Genomic DNA, 19325 nt, shown 5'->3' with positions numbered 1-19325 from the left:
AGATAATACTTACTTTTTAATTAACCACAAAATAAAATGAGACTTTTACTGAAGGGAAAGATTTTAGAGCTAACCAAGTTTAGCCACTTTATTGGTTAAAAATAATGAATTAATTGTTTATTTTGCCAATGAAAAACATGAAGCCCTAAAAGTTTATTGCCTTAGTCAAGGTTATCCCAGCAGGTGAACAATACAGTTGGGAGGAAAACTCACTTAGCTGTTCTATGTGAAAGATATACAGACCATTCCTCAGGATCAATGGTTCTCAACCTTGGCACTGTTGACATTTTTGTCCTGATAATTCATTGTTGCCCTGTACATCATTCAGCTGTGAGGGCTGTGTAATTCCTGGTCTGTCCTTACTCTTAGGACATGGCTCTTCAGATGATTTACCAGATAACCCCCTCCTAGATGGGTTCTCAACAGCAGGTTTTGTCCTGTAGTACACTCAGATTGCCGAAATCACTGATTAGCTTTTTAGTCTCTTAACAGCTGCCTTCTGATTGAGTTCAAGGCATCTTGCCCTGATAATGAGTAGGAGTTGCAGGAGAGAAAATATAATTTATTTTCTTTACCTTTTTTAGGTTACTAGTTGTGACATTTTCCCGAAACAGAAGCCAAATTAACAAAAGATAAACAAATGGAAATTTATTAACACCTGCTGTACCCATCACTTGGAAGAAGCCTCAGTGAAAAACTGTTGGGCCAAGCAAGATGGTTCATGCCTGTAATTCCAGCATTATGGGAGGCCAAGGTGGCAGGATGGCTTGAGGTCAGGAGTTTGAGACTATCCTGGTCAACATAGCAAGACCCCTTCCTCATTAAAAAAAAATTAAAAATTAGGTGTGGTGGCATGGACCTGTAGTCCCAAGCTACGTGGGAAGATCACTTGAGCCCAGGAGCTTTAGGCTGCAGTGAACCACGATCACTCCACTTCACTCCAGTCTGGGTGACACAGTGAGACCCTACCTAAAACAAAAACAAACAAAAAACTCTCTCAAGGCAGTGGCTTAGGGGCCTTGCTTTAAAAATATTTTAAGAAAGAGCCGTGAATCCTGTGTAGTTACAAAACAAAGAGAAGAGCAGTTCTCATCCTTTAAAGGGTGGGAAAATGTGGGAAGATAGTAGAATCTGTTCCCAGATTCCTCTCGGGTCTGCTGGTGCCTTCTCTGGGCCCATAAGCAAGTGCTGTCTCCAGTAAGGAAGGATTGACGTCCTGCCATTAGGAGGCAGACCGAGGCTGAGGCAGTGTTCCCCTGCATTTTCAGTGTCTTTGACATAACAGTCCTAAATATTTTGGGGTGAAATATTTTGTTTCCTTCAGAGCCATCAGATGCCTCAAGAAGAAATTGCCTGCAGATTGTTCTTACTACTCTCTGGTTCCCTGTTGTCCTGGTCCTTAGTCTCTCATATCCTGGCAACTTTGATAGCCCTGAACTCCAATTTGTTTCTCCCCAGATCAGTAAGACTTCAGCAAGCCAGAGGCTACTGCTTTCTGTTTGGGCACTATGTTTGGAGACCTAAATTGGCAAAGAAACAGAGGTAAATACAGGATTCACTTTACTGTATTTTCTTTCTTTCTCGAATCTTGGCCCCTCATGTCCTTGTTTTCTTAATTGCTATCATGATCTTAAATAGGTGTTTGTTAGATTTTTAAATATTCACATTTTATTGTAGTTACTGGGAGGATTATTCTGATATATGCTGCTCCATCATAGGTGGAAGAGGAAATCAGCCTGTTTTTGCTTATGAAGTTCTCTGTTCTTAGGATTGCCTTAGGATCTGCCGTATACTGTCTTCCCTTCAAGGCCCATCTTAAATTTTACCTCTTTTCTAAAGAATTTCCTTATGATCCCATCTAAGGGATGGGATATAACCTTTTCCTTATTTGTTCTCTGATTGCTTTTTTGTCTGTAGTTGTCTAAAAGCATTTATCATATTTTTTTTACCAAGAATCTTCTGCTTGTATATACTTATCATTGCCCATTATACTTAAAATGATATGAAGGCAGGATAATTCCTTATTTCTCCTTGGCTCCTTTGTACCAACTAATACAAAGAACAGGACTTTACACAAAGGAGATACTCAGAGTATGTTTTATGAATCGGAATGGCTTCAGAATACTAGCTAGAATAGGTGGTGAACCTCTCACCACATTTGGAATTGAAATTTTACCATACAAAATGTTGGTGCAATAGGAACAAAGAGATTATAGTAATGATATTGTATTATTTGGAATAAAATTGGGCTGGGGGTAAATAGCAAAACAAATCAAATCAGTTAGTTATTTCTTACTTATTGTATTTTATGAAATTGAAGTGACCGCTAATGTATCTCTCATTGTGTTCTGAGCGTTAACATGGATTATCTTACTTAATCATCTCAGAAACCTTCTGGGGTTACTGTCATTATTCTGACTTTATAGATGGGGTTAATACATTCAAGCAATATGCCCAAAATCATATATTTAAGTTTAGTGATAGAAATGGCACTTGAACCCCAGTGAAATTTCAGAGCCTGAGCTGCAGCGGTTAAGGATGCATATTATGGGATGGATGCCCTGTCTTTATGCTACAGTGAACTGTTAGAAAGAAAATAAGTCAATAAAGTCTCTTATTGATGTTTATTTAGCTTATTATGTAAATGCAATTAATTTTGGGCAAATCCCTTAACGGACTCAACCTCAGTTTTTTTAACTTTAAAATAGGGATAAATATGGCACTCACAAATTTCATTGAACCTAAATCACCACTGGTTTTAAGATGTAACAATATTTTATGTACACAGAAAAATATGTTATCACAACTTTGACATGGTATAGATTGTCAGAAGCATTCTGATTTCAGAGATGTTAAAATGTTTTTTTTAAAAATCATCTTAGAAGTAATGAAATACAATGTTGTAAGTTTGTGGGACTCTTATGTGGTAATGTATGTAAAGCACTTAGTATAGAACTTGGCACATGGGAAGTGCTAAATAAATTATTATTAACTATATAACTGTAAAATATTGATAATGTACCAGTACGTATTCTAAGAAGCTCTATGTAGCTGACAACGGAGAGATGGAATTTATTGAATTGAATACAGTATTAAACTAGAAGAAAAATTTTAAGAAAACAGTGCTGGTCCTAACTGCATTATGTAAGAATTGTAGGAATATGTAAGAATTAACCCAGTTATGAGAACTAGGAAGAATGCCGGTCTACCCCAATAGTTGTAATGAAATGTGCTCCTCTAAGTCTGAAGCAGCCAAGGGAGCTGCAGAGATGTGAGCTATATTTGGAGAGAGTGCTTTCACACCATTTCTCCCTGAATGATATGCTAAAGAGGGAACTGCGACATCTCCACTGTAGGAGAGTCACGCTTTGGAGATTACCAATGGGGAGGGAGAACTGAAGAAGTTAATACAATGTGAACCATTGGAATTGTAATAAAAAATGTAATCAATGTCCTGGATTTTGTCAAAGGACAACCAAAAGATATGAAAGAATAGAACTGGCAAATTCTCTACCTTTGTCTCAGCCCAATGTAATGACATTTTAATGATGCAATGAAACTATATATATATTCTAGCTATAAATGAGGCCATTCAAATAGGATATATCCCATTTGAATGGCTGCCTTAATAGCTAGTTAAAATGGTTTGCTCTTTTCTAGTTTTCTTGGAAGATTTTAATATGGAGAGGAGGGTAGTATACAGATAAAATCCCCTTTTTTACAGAGTCCATGTGGAATGGGAGCATTGTCAGATGATGTAGCAGACCTCATGACAACTTGCATGTATCATCTTTGTTGCCCGAGCACCATTATGTACAAAAGGAAAGGAAACTAACATCTATCAGTAATTCATTTTGGGTCAGGCATTGTGCTACCTTGTCATATTATTTAGATATAGACTATATGGTTTAGTGGTTAAAAGCCAGACTAGACCCAGACTGCCCAGACACAAATCACAGCTTGGCCTCATAATAGCTTTGCTACCTTGAACAAGTCACCCAGCCTCTCTGCTTCTGTTTCCGTGTATGTAAAATGCAAATAATAGTAATAATAGGACCAATATTTTTAATAGGATTCTAGTGAGATGTAAATGGGTTATGTATATGAAGCATTTACACACATATATAAAAAATGCTATAAAAGCATTTGCTAATAAAGCAAAGCAATAGGTAGCACTAGAATTCACACTTATTTTAATCCAAAGTCTATGTTCTTTATAATGTGATTCTCTATAACTGTGATTCTGCATGCTAACTAATAGTTAATATGATGTGGTAGAGATCACTTTAAATTGATGTCATCCTTTATTTCTAGGAACATTAGAATGTAAGATAAAGTGTTTATTTTTCATTGTGTTTATATTTATCCTCAATTTGGACATTGGCCTTAGAATCTTAACCTTGGATATTTTTCAAGTGAAAGAATAGAGATTTAAAGATTATACTCTAAGATTATACTAAATATAGCAGTCTATATTTGACATAGTGCTTTCCTCTACCTGATTTCATTTGATTCTTAGACTAGAACATTGTAGGTGGAAAAGAACATTGTAGATGGAAAGACTAGAACATTGTAGACTAGAATATTGTAGATGGAATAATATATATATATTATTTTTTTTGAGATGGAATTTCGCTCTTTTCACCCACACTGGAGTGCAATGGCACGATGTCAGCTCACTGCAATTTCCGCCTCCCGGGTTCAAGCAATTCTCCTGCCTCACCCTCCCAAGCAGCTGGGACTACAGGCGCCCACCACCATGCCCAGCTAATTTTTTGTATTTTTAGTAGAGATGGGGCTTTACCACATCAGCCAGGTTGGTCTCGAATTCCCAACCTCAGGTGATCCACCTGCCTCGGCCTCCCAAAGTGCTGGTATTACAGGCGTGAGCCACCATGCCTGGCCGGAAGAGATATTGTTATGTCATCTTACACATGAAGAAATTGAAGTTTGCAGAGTTTGACTCCTACCTTGGCTAGCCTAGCTAGGACTCAAACTCACATCTTCTTACTCTTAATTCAAAAGTGTTTTTCACTGTGTGTATATATTTACTTAGTGGTTGTTAATCGAACACCTACTATGTACCAGGTGTGTGAAATCCTAGCTAGAAAAGACAGCAAGACACCACTGTTTTCTTCAATAAGGTTATAATCAATTAGGGAGGAAAGAAACAACTGACAAGGGTACAGTGGATATGTGATATTATTTGTGTGAACAAAGTACTGTAGGAACACCTGGGAGTGATTAAGTGGCCTGGAGATTTGAAGGAGGCTTTGCAGATGTGGTGATGTTTTAAAATAAGCAGTTATCAGAGAAGTAGAAGATGTGAACACTTTGAGAAAAGGAAACAGTTTATTTGATTGTTAAAGTAAGGTGAGTGGGCCAGAGTGACAAGTAGATGGGTTGTGTGGTGAAGTGAAACTGAAAAATAGGTGAGATGGGAAGGGTGCTAAAGAGGTTGGGTATTTTCTTCTGGGTAATAGGGAGGCATTAAAGGTTTTTGAGCAAGTATTGTCAGAGCTATATTTAAGAAATGGCTGTGCTAGCTGCACTGAAGAGTGTGTATAGGAAACATTGGTTTTATGGAGTACTAATTACCAATAACAATAGTCTGGAGATTTTGGAAATAATTTCTAGAAACTGATGTTTAAATATGAGGGTAGATTGAAAAATAATTGACATTTTTGAATGAGTAAATGATGGGAGATGACCTAAAAGAATACAAGAAAGAGAGGATGTATGGAAGGAAAATGTGGATTCAGTGATGGGCATTTTAAATTTGAGATTGCTGAGGCTTGGCACAGGTTTGGTATTACTAGCATGGCTCTGATATGAGGATGGAGGGGACCAACACAGGAGAAGGTGTAAGCTAAGGATAGAGACCTGGGCAGGGGAGAGCATTTGGGAGATTGGTGGCAAGAAAAGAACATTTTGGTTAGAGGAAAGCTAAAACAAGTTAAATTATGGAAACCTAGGAATGAGAGAATTTCAGTAAAGATGTATATTACAGTGCCAGTGCTGCTGAGAGGTCAAGAGGCTGAGGTGCTGGATTTGACTTGTAATAAAGTAGTTGGACTGGATGATACCAAAAATCCAATTCAGTTATCACATTGGCCCCTAATTTGGGAAGTTTTCTGTAGATTTTTGAAAGGGAAAATGATAATATGAGGTAAGTAGGCCAATTTGGAAAAAGCCTTTAATTCAAAAAATCATCACCAGAGGGTTATTCCCACTTATATACAGGCATACATTTGGTACTTTCATTGTTAATTCTGACATTTAAATCTCTAGAAAGAATTTTGTGAATGGTTGGTTGTATAGAATATGTACAGTTCAGAAGACTCTCTAAATTTAACCTCCTAAATAGGTATACACGATTGAGATTATGAAAATGAGGGCAACGCATAGTCACTATGTTAATATTTGGATGTTAAATCACGATGGGGTTAATCAATGTCTGGAGGCTGCAACTGGGATATAAGAGGTAGGGATGTGTGTGTGCACAAGAGAGAGAGAGAGACAGCCTCATCACCATGAGGGAGTTGGAAGTGCCAAAATCTCTATTCAGGTCTTACTAGAATGATTTCAACTTATACATCCTTTCCAAACTCACAAATGTATAAACTGGTGTACTTTAGAATCTTCATGTTTTGAATGATTGTCAGTGTTTATGCCATTGCAAATACATTTCAGCAGTCATTATTTTTCTGGCAAAAGGAAGTTGACGATTCAGCCTCCTCTAAATATGGCAACCAATTTGGATTTGGGACATTGAATAGAATCATCAATTGCTGTTGTTATTCAGTGTATCATTTGTTGTCGGCTTCAGAGATGGGGAAGCAATGTTTTGCACAACATTGAATGTACCAATCTAATCTTAATGTTTAAAGGGATGCAAAGGTAAAATCTAGTCACTGGTACCTTGCAGTATTTTAATTGACTCCTTTCCTCCTCAAAGAATGAGAGCCTTTCATTCTTCTTCTGCCATCAGTTGCTGCTCAGCTCTGACTACCATTAGCTTTATTGGAGATGATTCAAAATGGATGAAAGAAAAAGGTTTCTGCACTGAGAATTTTGCCAAGTGATGTTGTAAGCAATTGCGAAGATGGCTCTTTATGGTTATGCTTGACACCCACGATGTAGGGATGGGTAGAAACCTTTTGGGATCTCAGCTATTGAGCTCTAATACATTGGAGTCATCTTCATTCTTCATTCGTGTTCAGAGCAGCAGCCTCTGAACATTCTCCACAGGGCTTTGGGGTGAGCCAATGAGGCGATATGCACAAATTAAGGAAACTTGACCTTCACTCCTTTCCCCTAGAACCCCAAGCCTTATCACCTCTTGCTTCTCTTTACAATCCCCGATTAGAACACACGATCTCCATTAAGTATATCCCTATTGCAAAACCTTAATAAATATGGGTTGACTCAGAATTGAAGAAAAATGAACTACTTTTTCTCCTGCAATATTACTGTCTTGCCCTTTAATAAAAATTAAATGGGCATTCCTAGACCTTTTGTGTTTTGAATTTTTGAAAATAGAATCATCCTAGTGCCTGAAGGAACAGAATTTGACCTCTAAAACTTCCACACTAGTGTTTCTGAGATTCCTTAGAAATCGATCAATTTAAATATATTTCCACCTGTCTCATTAACCTTTTATATTAGTTGTTTTTCTAACTGTAGTTCAAAAAAAATTCAGAGGGTTATATAATACTTTAAAAAATGAAGTAGAGGAAACCATTATAATTCATTGCATGTGATATGGGTAGCTATTGTTCCGTGAAACTTTTGTTTCACACATGCTGACATGCGTGTGTGCGAGGTCATGATGGATTTAAAAACTACAGTCTTAGATAATAATATCCCAGTGATCCATGATGGTCTTTTCTCCGTTCTATAAAAATACCCACAGTAGCAAGCATTATGACTCTGTATAACTCCCCCCATGTTATCCAACAGTTAGGTAGCTGGCTGATACCTGCTGCGGCCACAATGTTTGCTAATAGAAGCTATTTTTCACTTTTATTGTTACTTATTATTTCTGTTTTTAGCTCATAGAAGCCATCATTAAAAGGAAGGGCTCTTGGGTTAAGGAGGAGAGTCTTCACAACTCGGAGGCTAGTCTTTTCTGACATAAATCCATGAGGATCTATAACAATTTTCCTCAATTGTGCAGATGAAGGCTTTGATAGTTTTTATTGGAGGCCAAGGGCTATGGGTTCATATTGAAGAACGGTTTCTAGCAGTCTTTATCTCTCATGTGACTTAGCAAATGGGATGCACAATATCTAGAGCAATATGAGTACAACTGATGGAGCCTACACAGTTACGGGGAGAGGCTATGCTTTCATTTCCAAACCACAGGGGATGGTGAGTCAAAGATTTTGTGATTGGTGTCTCCGTTTTTGAAAGCACCTGACAGATGGAAGTGCATGAGTATATGAAAAGAATCAGAAGACAAGAAGAAAAAGCTGTGGCATCCATTACCACCCTGGCCCCTCCAGGCTCCATTTTAGTAATACCTAGTGAAGACCCACGGTAGTAACACTGGAACCACATTCTAATTATCTACAGTTGCTTTTAATACTTTTTATTTATTCAGTTATTTACTTTTGCTGGAGACAACCGCTTAGGAAACCATGTACAGTTCCTAACATGGTATGAATTAAAATCTTGCCCACAGCTGTGTAGATATGGACATTAAAAGCCCGCCCTTGTGAATTATCAGCAGGCCTCCGAGCCATGGTCATCTGTTGCGATAATCATGGTGCTGATGCCTGATTGAGCAAGGGAAGCAGGACTGTCTGTAGAGTGGTTTGAGGATAAGGTTATTCTTGTTAGTGGACACTGCCTCTTATGTAGAAATTTCCTAACCACAGGGTGAATGTGACATTATCTTCCTCTCTTTTAATATGAGAACAGCAAACCTGTAACTGCTCCCTGTGTTGCCAGGGAAAGTAGATGGTGACTCACTTCTTGAGTATTTGTGCTGAAAGGCTGACATGTTAATAACCTTTAGGAAAGGAAAGGATCAGGGAAAAATTATTTAATATGTGAGTTTATTGCCTTTCCTCCTTTCCTATGTCCCATGTCTACTGGCTACTCTAATTTTTTAGATGGGTAAACTATGCAGTGAGATCCTAATCAAGATTTTTTCTTCTTGCTAACAGCATTCGTATTGAAGAAAAGACTAAAATGTGGTTTTATTTATATGCCTTCTGTGGATATACTTGAAAGCTTACTATAAATACGGTCATATGCCACATAACGACATTTTGGTCCATGAAAAACCACATATATAATGGTGGTCCCATAAGATTATAACGGAGCTGGCTGGGTGCAGTGGCTGACACCTGTAATCCCAGAACTTTGGGAGGTCAAGGCAGGTAGATCACTTGAGGTCAGGAGTTCGAGACCCTCCTGGCCAACATGGTGAAATCCCATCTCTACTAAAAATACAAAAATAAGCCAGGCATGGTGGCACATGCCTGTAGTCCCAGCTACTAGGGAGGCTGAGGCAGGAGAATCGCTTGAACCTCTGAGGCAGAGGTTGCAGTGAGCCGAGATTGTGCCACTGCACTCCAGCCCGGGCAACAGAGCAAGACTCTATCTCAAAATAAATAAATAAATAAAAGATTATAATGGAGCTAAAAAATTTCTACAACCTGGTGACGTTGTAGCTGTTGTAAAGTCATAGCATAACACATTACTCATGTGTTTGTAGTTATGCTGGTGTAAACAAACCTACTGAGCTGCCAATCCTGTAAAAGTGTAGCACATACAATTATGTACAGTACATAATAATAAAGCTATGTTACAGATTTATGTATTTATTGTACTATTTATTATTATTTTAAAGTATACTCTTTGTATTTATTTCTAAAATTAACCATTTGGGCAGGTGCTTCAGGAGCTATTCCAGAAGAAGGCATTGTCATCACAGGAAATGACAGCTCCATGCATGTTATTGCCCCTGAAGACCTTCCAATGGGACAATATATGGAGGTAGAGGACGGTGATATTGACTATCCTGACCCTGTGTAGGCCTAGGCTAATGTGTGTATTTGTGTCTTTGTTTTTAACAAGAAAGTTTAAAAAATAAAATGAAAGATTTAAAAATAGACAAAGTATAGAATAAGGATATTAAGAAAATATTTTTGTACAGCTGTACAACATGTGTTTTAAGGCATTATTACAAAAGAGTCAAAAAAGTTAAAAAGTAAGCTTATAAAGTAAAAAATTTACAGTAAGCTAAGGTTAATTTATTATTGAAGACAGAATAATTTTAAAATAAATTTAGTGTAGCCTGAGTATATAGTGTTTATAAAGCCTACAATAGTGTATAGTGTTTATAAAGCCTGCAATAGTGTATAGTAATGTCCTACGCCTTCATATTCACCCACCACTCACTCAAAGCAACTTTCAATCTTAGAAGCGCCATTCATGATTAGTGCCCTAAACGGGTGTACCATTTTAAATCTTTTATGGCATATTTTTACTGTACCTTTTCTATGTTTAGATACACAAATTCTTATCATTGTGTTACAGTTGCCCACAGTATTCAAAACAGTAACATGCTGTACAGGTTTGTGGCCTAGGAGCAATAGGCAATACCATATAGTCTAGATGTGTGATAGGCTATTCCATCTAGGTTTATGTTAAGTACACTCTATGATGTTTCCACAATGATGAAATTGGCTCAGGACACCTTTCTTGGGACCAGTCTCTGTTGTTATGCAACACATGACGTACATCTCCTTCCCTAGCATGCCTCTTTGTATAGTACCCTTAGTCAGATCCATCCCAAGTTAGACATTGTTGAGGCTGAGCAAATGTTAAAAATGGAAAGGATGCAATAAAACCGTTCCTGCATTGACTTTGCAATGTATTAGATCAATCTACAGAATGAAAGTGTGAACGTCCTTGATAGCATTACTTATTTAGTAGTAGATGTACAGTACTTGTGATCAGCAGTGTTTGGGTTTACTGTCACTTGGATGTGGTAGAAGGAAGAATATTATTTTTTTCTATTTGTGGAATCCATTCCAGAATTTCATCTCCAGTTGAAGAGGAGAACTCCTTACCTGTTCTTCTGAGACAGAATTATATATTTAACTCTTCCTGGAAGTTACTGCTTTTCTTAGGAAAGACTTAGAAGCAACTTAGAGATGTTGATTAAATATATAAGGACTAGAACATAATTACCACACTAAAGAGCTAGGCAAATAGCATTTGGGTAAAGAAGCAAAATCTGGGTATCAAGTGGGAACTCCTAGTCCCTTGAGGTCTAGATTATGTTGATTTTAACCTAGTCCTATAAAAGTAGAAATGTTTCTGTAAAATTTTTTTAGCATTCTAAGGGGCTTATATTTTCATGTTTATCAGTTATCAGGAGATCTTTTGCGATGTCTCTTTCACACTGCATTGATCAAAACCTAATCAGCTTTCAGAGACAGGTACACACACACTCCAAACCAAATACCCTACTAAAACATACATAGTCACAATCACAGTATCATTTAATGTATAGAATTTTATTGAAAATCTGAGGGTTCACATCACATACTGTATGGCTCAATACTGTATTTTAGAGTTCCTTGTTCTTAAAGGTTTTTTTTTTATATATATAACTTGGATGTTTTGAGGGGCCATCCCACTCTTTACCATCATGTCAAATCACTCCCTGGTCTAACCTTGTGTTCAGACTGACATCTCTAATCTCTCATTTATCCATCTACTCCCCTGAAATAAATATTTTGCCTCAAAAGTCAAAATAATTACTTTCTTATTTAGTTTCTCAGCAGGAGAAACTTTCCAGGAGCCCAATTTTCCTCACTTTTGGTGAAGATACACATGGTTGGGGTGAAGTTTCCATGGTGGCCATGCAATACTTTGACCATTAGTCACCAGAAGTTTCTTTTTGCCCTTCTCCTGTACAGAGTCCAATTTTGTTTCCCCCAGCTTCTCTCTCCTCCCTGTCTCTTCTCTTTCTTTTTCTGCTTTCTGAGCCAGAAAAATGCCTTTTGATCCAGATCAATCTGATATTGATAACTGATCAATATCTTCTGATCCGGGAGGTAAATAATTTCTCTACTGCTTGGTTGCAGAGCACTTTCTACCTTTTTCCTGAAGCTCTAGATGTGTTGCTCTTGAGTTCTCTCATTTTCTGCCCCACCAAAGGCATTTCCTTCTTTTAGAGTAATTACAGTGCCAGCTCTTTGGAAAGTAGTATTTTTTCATCCTTTTATATCAGCAATAATGAGAAGTGTTATCATCCTACAAAATCATATTAAAATTATAAAAAATAAATTATAGGATTAATTTTCAGTATAACTATATAAGAGTGGCAGAAATAATGAGATGGAGACAGGGAGAAGAATCACCAAATCGCCACATTTCAGGAAGAACCTCCTATTTGAGTTTGGTAATTATAGATTTTTTAAGGAAGTGCTCAAGGAACTCCATTCTCGTGATTGTTAAAAACAACTAGAAAAATAATTAGACATGCTTTCAGAACCATTTTCTGCATTGGCTAAGGTGTGTCAGAAGTCTAATAAAACTTCCTGATGTCTCTATCCTTGACTTTCAAGTCAACCCAGTCCTTGTACAATGAGGAAGGAAAACATTGAAATCAGACTGTTACTGCTAATGTAAGAGAGACAATGTAGCAAAATGTTTTAAGAACAGCAGCTTTGGAGAAAGACACACCTGAATTTATTGTTGTTTTTATTATTGGGACAGCAAGTGTGTAGAGTTGAGATTAGATATGTATAATAGAACCAGAATATAGGCATTGGAAAAGACCTTAGAGATCATGGGATTCCAAGTGCCCCCATCAAAAGATAAGGAAAATTGGAGATTCAGAAAGGAAAAATTATTTCAAGATCATATCTCTAGTCAGTGACAGAGTCAGGGTTAAGACCTGCAACTCTTGACTCCCAGTATGAGGCAAACACCCACCACACCAGTGGTCACACTGCACTGTGGGCATCATGGCGTTTTGCATTACGGAGTCTTGGCTGTGCTTGTGTGCCAGGACTGTCCCAGGGATGTCTGACTGGCCTGCCCTAGCACTTGGAGGCCTGTGCACTGGCAAGGGCAGAGGCCGAGAGCTGGAGGGTACAGAAGAGTAGCCATTAGGAAATATTTCTTATGAGATAGACTTTGGGTTGCTTCTGCTTATCACATTATTATATTACCAGCAAGCAGCCTGTGAAGGAACCCAAAGTAAGTGCTGTCTGGGAAGACCTAGAACATTATTCTTTGGGAGAAAATGTGATCAAAGGCAGGAAATTGGCTGTAGATTTTTAGTGTTTTATAATTTTGAATATATACTGATGCTAATTGGAGTTATTTCTAGCTGTGTGACATATTTATATGTGTATGATTCCTCCCACCCCATCTACAAGGGATTTTCATAAGGGAGGGGGGCATCTGAAGGAGATGGGTAAAATTTGAATTCACTGGCAGCTTTTACTAGTTGAATTTGTCTCAAATCTCAAGGAAAACCACTACTAACAAAGTTAAAATGATGGATAAACTGAGAAAAATGTTTGCGTGCCATATATCAAACAAAGATTTAATATTTTTAATTAATAAAAAACTACCGTAAAAAATAGCAAGGTCAAACATCCCAATAGAAAAACATCTAAAAATATAAAAACAAGCAGTTTACAAAAAGGAATATAAATGGTTCAAAAAATGAAAGGAAAAAAAGGCTATCCTCATTATTAATCAAAGACATAAGTTAAAACATTTTATCATTTTTACATAAAACTGGCAATGATTAAGAAAAACAGCACAATATCTAGTATTAGATGGAGCTAGGGACTCTGGATTCTCTCTCATGGAATCAAAATTACCATAAATTTTAAGGCCCACCATTATTTGATGTATTATTAAGAAAAAAAAAGTCACCAATTAAACTATGACACAAGGCTATCTTATTACTTAGTATTTTATTTTATAGTTATTATAAGCTATTTTCTGTATTTAGATACAGACTTTAACCACTGATTATGCCCAACTATATGTATGAAGAAAATATAAGCAAAGTTTGCAAAATGCATGGCTGGAAGTCTGAAATAAATTAATTGTCTGAGCTGCAAAGCAGAGAAATGCATTCAATCAACAGCTGTCAGGACCTAGGGTGTTTCTGACACTGAACGAGGCTCTGGTGGTATGGAGGTGCACACAAGAAGGTCCTTTGTTTTATGGAACTCACATTCTGTTTGGGCAGAAGTAAAAAAAAAATCCCAAACAACACAGGTCTGCAGATTATGGTCTGTTTTGGTAAATAATAGTTTGATATTGCAGATGCTAATCTCTTATAAAACCACATGAAGACAGTGTTAATTGGATGATCATTTTTCCGTTGAGGACATGGCTGTCTTTAAATGAAACCTGAAAGATTTTCAGACCTGGAAAGAGCATTAGAGAATATCAAGTCCCATATAAAGGTCTTCTCACTCTGGTTATCAGCCATTGTGAACAAACAAAGGAATTTTGAAGCCCATTTAGGGATAAAAGAAATACAACACTGGTGATTCTTGAAGTTTCTTGGAATTTTAGCCAAGTATTCAGAGCACTCTGTCCACTTGCTTAAGCAGGACTTTGAGGTCCCTTGTCTGTGTAACGGAATATGTGGTTTTGTAAATCACTGTGTTACCTTGTTCAGAGTAAAAATAAAAGAGGGATTGTTTGATCACAGTAAACTTAAATTCCATCTTTTCTGAAGTGAATAAATATTAAAGTATCATTAGGTATGATATCTTTAATTGTATTGCATGACTTACATCTTAGCAAAATGAAAGCTGTATAAACATGTTCATCCTTCGGAGGCACTTTGAAAATGTAGTAGAAAAATATCTTCCTAAAATGGGTATAATTAATTGTTGTAGAAGCTAAAAACTCTTGGCTGGGCACGGTGACTCACGCCTGTAATCCTAGCACTTTGGGAGGCCGAGGCGGGCGGATTGCCTGAACTCAGGAGTTCGAGACCAGCCTGGCCAACATGGTGAAACCCCATCTCTACTAAAATTACAAAAAATTAGCCAGGCATGGCAGCGGGCACCTGTAGCCCTAGCTACTCAGGAGCCTGAGGCAGGAGAATCGCTTGAACCCGGGAGGTGGAAGTTGTAGTGAGCCAAGACTGCACCACTGTACTCCAGCCTGGGTGACAGAGTGAGACTCCATCTAAAAAAAAAAAAAAAAAAAAAAAAAGAAAGCTAAAAACTCTCCTTGGTATTAAAAAAGAATATGAATGCACACCACTCCTGTGTTACCAAATGTACCAAAACAAAAACAGCAGCATATCAAATAAGAAGTAAATGTGGCCATTAATCCTCTCCTGCACAGGTAACTACTCATTTCCCATCATAGAAGTAGGTAACTGCTGTTAACTGTTATATGTATACATGCACAGAACTTTTAAAAAATATATAAAATACATCATGTTTGTGTAAGAGTGCATGTTTATGTAACATGTGAAGTTTAAAGACTAATGATAAGCAACTACAAATAAAAAATGTTCTCAGCACTCAGTATCCTAACTAAATTATTAAGAAACAGCACATTAGCAACCCCTGGATTCCCTCAGTGATTATATTTTTCTCCCCTTCCCAGAGGCAGCCACTATCTTGAAGTTTTTAAATAATTCTTTTGGGTTGGTGTTTAATTTTTATATATGCAACCATAAGAAAAAATATATAAATACATATGTTTGTTTTACCTGCTTTATGTACTACACAAAAATGTGTGGGTATATATATCAGTGCTCTCTCTATAAACTTGATATGCAAATTGTATGCAACCAAACAGGTTAATTTTACATAATGGAATTATTTTGTGTCTGATTTTTCCCTTAGAATTATGTTTTTGAGATTCAATCATTTTGACGCATGTAGGATATTCATTGCATGAACATGCCACAATTTATCCATTTTATCAATTCTCTAGTTGACTGAAATTTGAGTTCTTTTTTTTTGTTGTTTTTAATTAAGGCTTTTGCTCCTTATGAGAGAAGCACCTGGGTGAGGAGTGGGCAGCTGATTCCTTTCTCTACATAGGGCCTTCTTCCTGTCATATTGCCTGCCCCGGTCTTCTGGGGAGAACTCAGTGGACCCTCATGGAAGAGAGCTCACTACTGAGTACAAAGCCGTCTGTGTTTGAGGCCCCCAGCTATTCCAGACTGAGGTATCAGCCCACATTTGGCCTCCAACAATTTCTTAAAATTGTAGCTGATTTCTTCTTACCCACTCTTGGGGTGGGTGGCCCACCTTTGGGTGAGCTAGTTTGAACATGTCTTTTCTTCTTAGAGGAGCCTCTTCCTCCTTGGAATTCATTCTTTTTATTTGCTCTATGTCCTCAACTCTCAGCTCTCTGATAGGGTCAACGAAACTTACAATTTTATAGTTTTTTTCTCGTTGTTAAGTGGGAACAGCACTCTTTCCTGCTTTCCAAATCATATGCAGAAGCAGCAGCTCCATTTTCTAGCATTTTGGTTCTATTTATTTGCTTTTCATTGCATACATTAGATACATACTTTATTATATAGATAATGTTTATCTGGACTGTCACATATGTTTACCAATGCTTGATGACTTCTTGTATCTCAGACCATTTGGTGTTATTTTGCATCTTTTTGAAGTTTACTCTTGAAATTTCTCTGCTGAGAGTCTGTGGGCAAATGTCTTTGTTAAAATGTCCTTACTTCCTGACAGATAATTTTGTTGTCTCTTTTAGGGGCTGGCAAACTACGGCCATGTGGGCCAAATCTGGCCTGAGGCCTGTTTTTGTACAGCCCCAAGCTAAGCATGGTAAAGTGTTATTTTTACTATTTTAAAAGTGGTATTAAAAAACAAATCCACTACCACGGTAACAACAAAATAAGAATATGTTACAGAGATTGGCCTGCAAAACCTTAAATATTTACTATTTGGCCCTTTGCAGAAAATTTACTAATTCTTGGTCATATTCTATATTAATAGTTACTCTTAGCATTTTAAAGACAATATTCCATTGTCTTTCAGCTTCCACTGTTGCTGTTGAGAAATCAATATACAGTTACTAGTCACTACTTGGTAGAAGTACGATTTTTTTCTCTGGCTACTTTCAATATCTTCCCTTTGTGTTAGATGCCTTTCAGTTTCACTTTGAATTTATGGGTGTAGATCCCATTACTCAGGAAATCCTAAGTTATTACCTGAGGATATTGCCTCTTTGCACATCTGTCTGTATTCTTCTGATGAGTAAATGTTGAATATTTTCATTTTATATTCCATTTCTCTGAACCTCTTTTTACATCTACATTTACAACATTTTCTCTGCATTCTTGTGCTATATCTGATCCATTTCACTAATTATCTCTTTAGCTGTATCTATATCATCTGTTGAGCCTGTCCATGGACTTTCAATTAGTATGTATTTCATTTCTGCAAATTTGCTTTTTGTTCTTGTTCAACTCTGTTTAGTCAACTTTTATAGCCTCTTGACCTTTCCTCATATTTTCAGTCTCTTCTTTCATTCACTTAAAAATAATATGCCTATTAATTTTATATTCTCTTAATATTGTCAGGCATTTCCTATTTGATTCTGTATTTTGTTTTTTCCAAGTCTCACCCATGCAGGCTTGTATTTTTCTGTGTTTAATGAATTTGGTTGAGTTTATGTTCTTTAGAACTTTGTCCATGAGAATTTCTCAAGGCAGATGTTTATAGAGTTCTCCTTCTAGGAGAATATGGATTTGCTTCTGCTGAAAGCCTTGATGTACTACCCAGGACCACTTTAAAATGATCTGGGGAGTGAGGTGTTATGGGTTACCCCAGAGGGTCAACTTAAGTCCCGTCCATGTAAATCTGTGCCTGTGGTGGGGAATACCCAAAGGAGATCATTTTTCTTTTCTGTCACACTTAGCCAAAACCCCAACTGCTAACTCTTCTATAGGACAGGATTTTTGTTTTTTGTTTTTTTGTTTTTCTATTTCAGAGCAGCCCTGCTGGGGCTTCAGCTTCACACCAGTTCCCTTTCCCCCCCCTTTTTTTTTTTTTGAGATGGAGTCTCGCTCTGTTGCCCCAGCTGGAGTGCAGTGGTGTGATCTCAGCTCACTGCAAGCACCTCCTCCCAGGTTCACGCCATTCTCCTGCCTCAGCCTCCCAAGCAGCTGGGACTACAGGCGCCTGCCACCATGCCCGGCCAATTCTTCGTGTATTTAGTAGAGATGGGGTTTCACTGTGTTAGCCAGGATGGTCTTGATCTCCTGACCTTGTAATCTACCCGCCTTGGCCTCCCAAAGTGCTGGGATTACAGGCATGAGCCGCCGCGCCCAGCCACCAGTTCCCTTTTTTATCCTCCTATCCTACAAAGCCCCTAGGCTTTGTCTTCTTTCCCCCATGGGTCTGGCTCAAGGCCACTAGGAGTAGTAGATGCCCTCAGGGCAATGGCCCTTCAGTTTTAGCTTACCTGTGTGGAATCATACTGTCTTCTTGCCTTTTTTCCTACTCAGACATGTTTTACAAGAGATGTTTAATATATTCTCCAGCATTTTCAGGTGTTTTATATAGGAATTAATTTCTTTTCCCATCTAGTATAGGAATGGATAAGCCAAATGCTTTTGTATTTACCTATTTACAATAGGTATGCTTTTATTCTTCTCAAAAAGGATAAAGCTATTTGACCGTTTAAAAATACAATGTGACATGATGGAAAGAAGATGGGATTTGGAATTAGAAGACTCTGCATTACCATTTACTCACTTTATATCCTCTGGGACCCAATTTTCTGGTCTATAAAGTGGAAATATAATCTTTGTTCTAACCACCTCAGGATGTATTATAAGAAAAATAAAATAATTTGTCTCTCTGAATATAATAAATAATCAAGTACTCTATAAATGTATAGTATTGTTTTTAATAAATGATGCTAAGGATAAACATTACAGGTACCTAATACCAAAGGATTTTTAAAAAAGGTGATGAATACAAATTTTTTTAAGATATTGCTTGTATTTCCCTTTTGCTTGATGCCAACAAAATAAAACATTAGATCTGAGAGTTTTTTCCTTTTTTTTTTTGTACAGGGAGTCTTGCTCTGTTGCCCAGGCTGGAGTGCAGTGGCGCAATCTCAGCTCACCACAACCTCTGCCTCCCAGGTTCAAGTAATTCTCCTGCCTCAGCCTCCCAAGTAGCTGGGATTACAGGCACCACCACCATGCCCAGCTAATTTTTGTATTTTTAATAGAGACAGGGTTTTGCCATGTTGGCCAGGCTGGTCTCTAACTCCTGACCTCAGGTGATCCTCCCTCCTCAGCCTCCCAAAGTGCTGGG

General features: G+C 37.5%; 1 protein-coding gene across 6 annotated transcripts in view; it reads left to right on the top strand.

Moving 5' to 3' along the window:
- The window catches only part of RNF150 (ring finger protein 150), a 353094-nt gene that overhangs the window by 101485 nt on the left and 232284 nt on the right, over positions 1-19325 (top strand). For 2 of the 6 annotated variants that reach the window (XM_017008475.2, XM_047415996.1), the window contains exon 2: positions 1459-1542. The exons of the other annotated variants lie outside the window; for them this stretch is intronic. In XM_017008475.2, coding sequence (XP_016863964.1) covers positions 1509-1542 — 34 coding nt within the window. In that variant the 5' untranslated portion in view covers positions 1459-1508. The remainder of the gene's footprint in view (positions 1-1458; positions 1543-19325) is intronic. 6 annotated transcript variants of the gene reach the window in all.

This window comes from Homo sapiens, chromosome 4 (genome assembly GCF_000001405.40).
Source record: "Homo sapiens chromosome 4, GRCh38.p14 Primary Assembly".
Lineage (NCBI taxonomy): Eukaryota > Metazoa > Chordata > Mammalia > Primates > Hominidae > Homo > Homo sapiens.
Note: the sequence above shows the minus strand (reverse complement) of the source record. Positions and strands in the feature narration are given on the sequence as shown.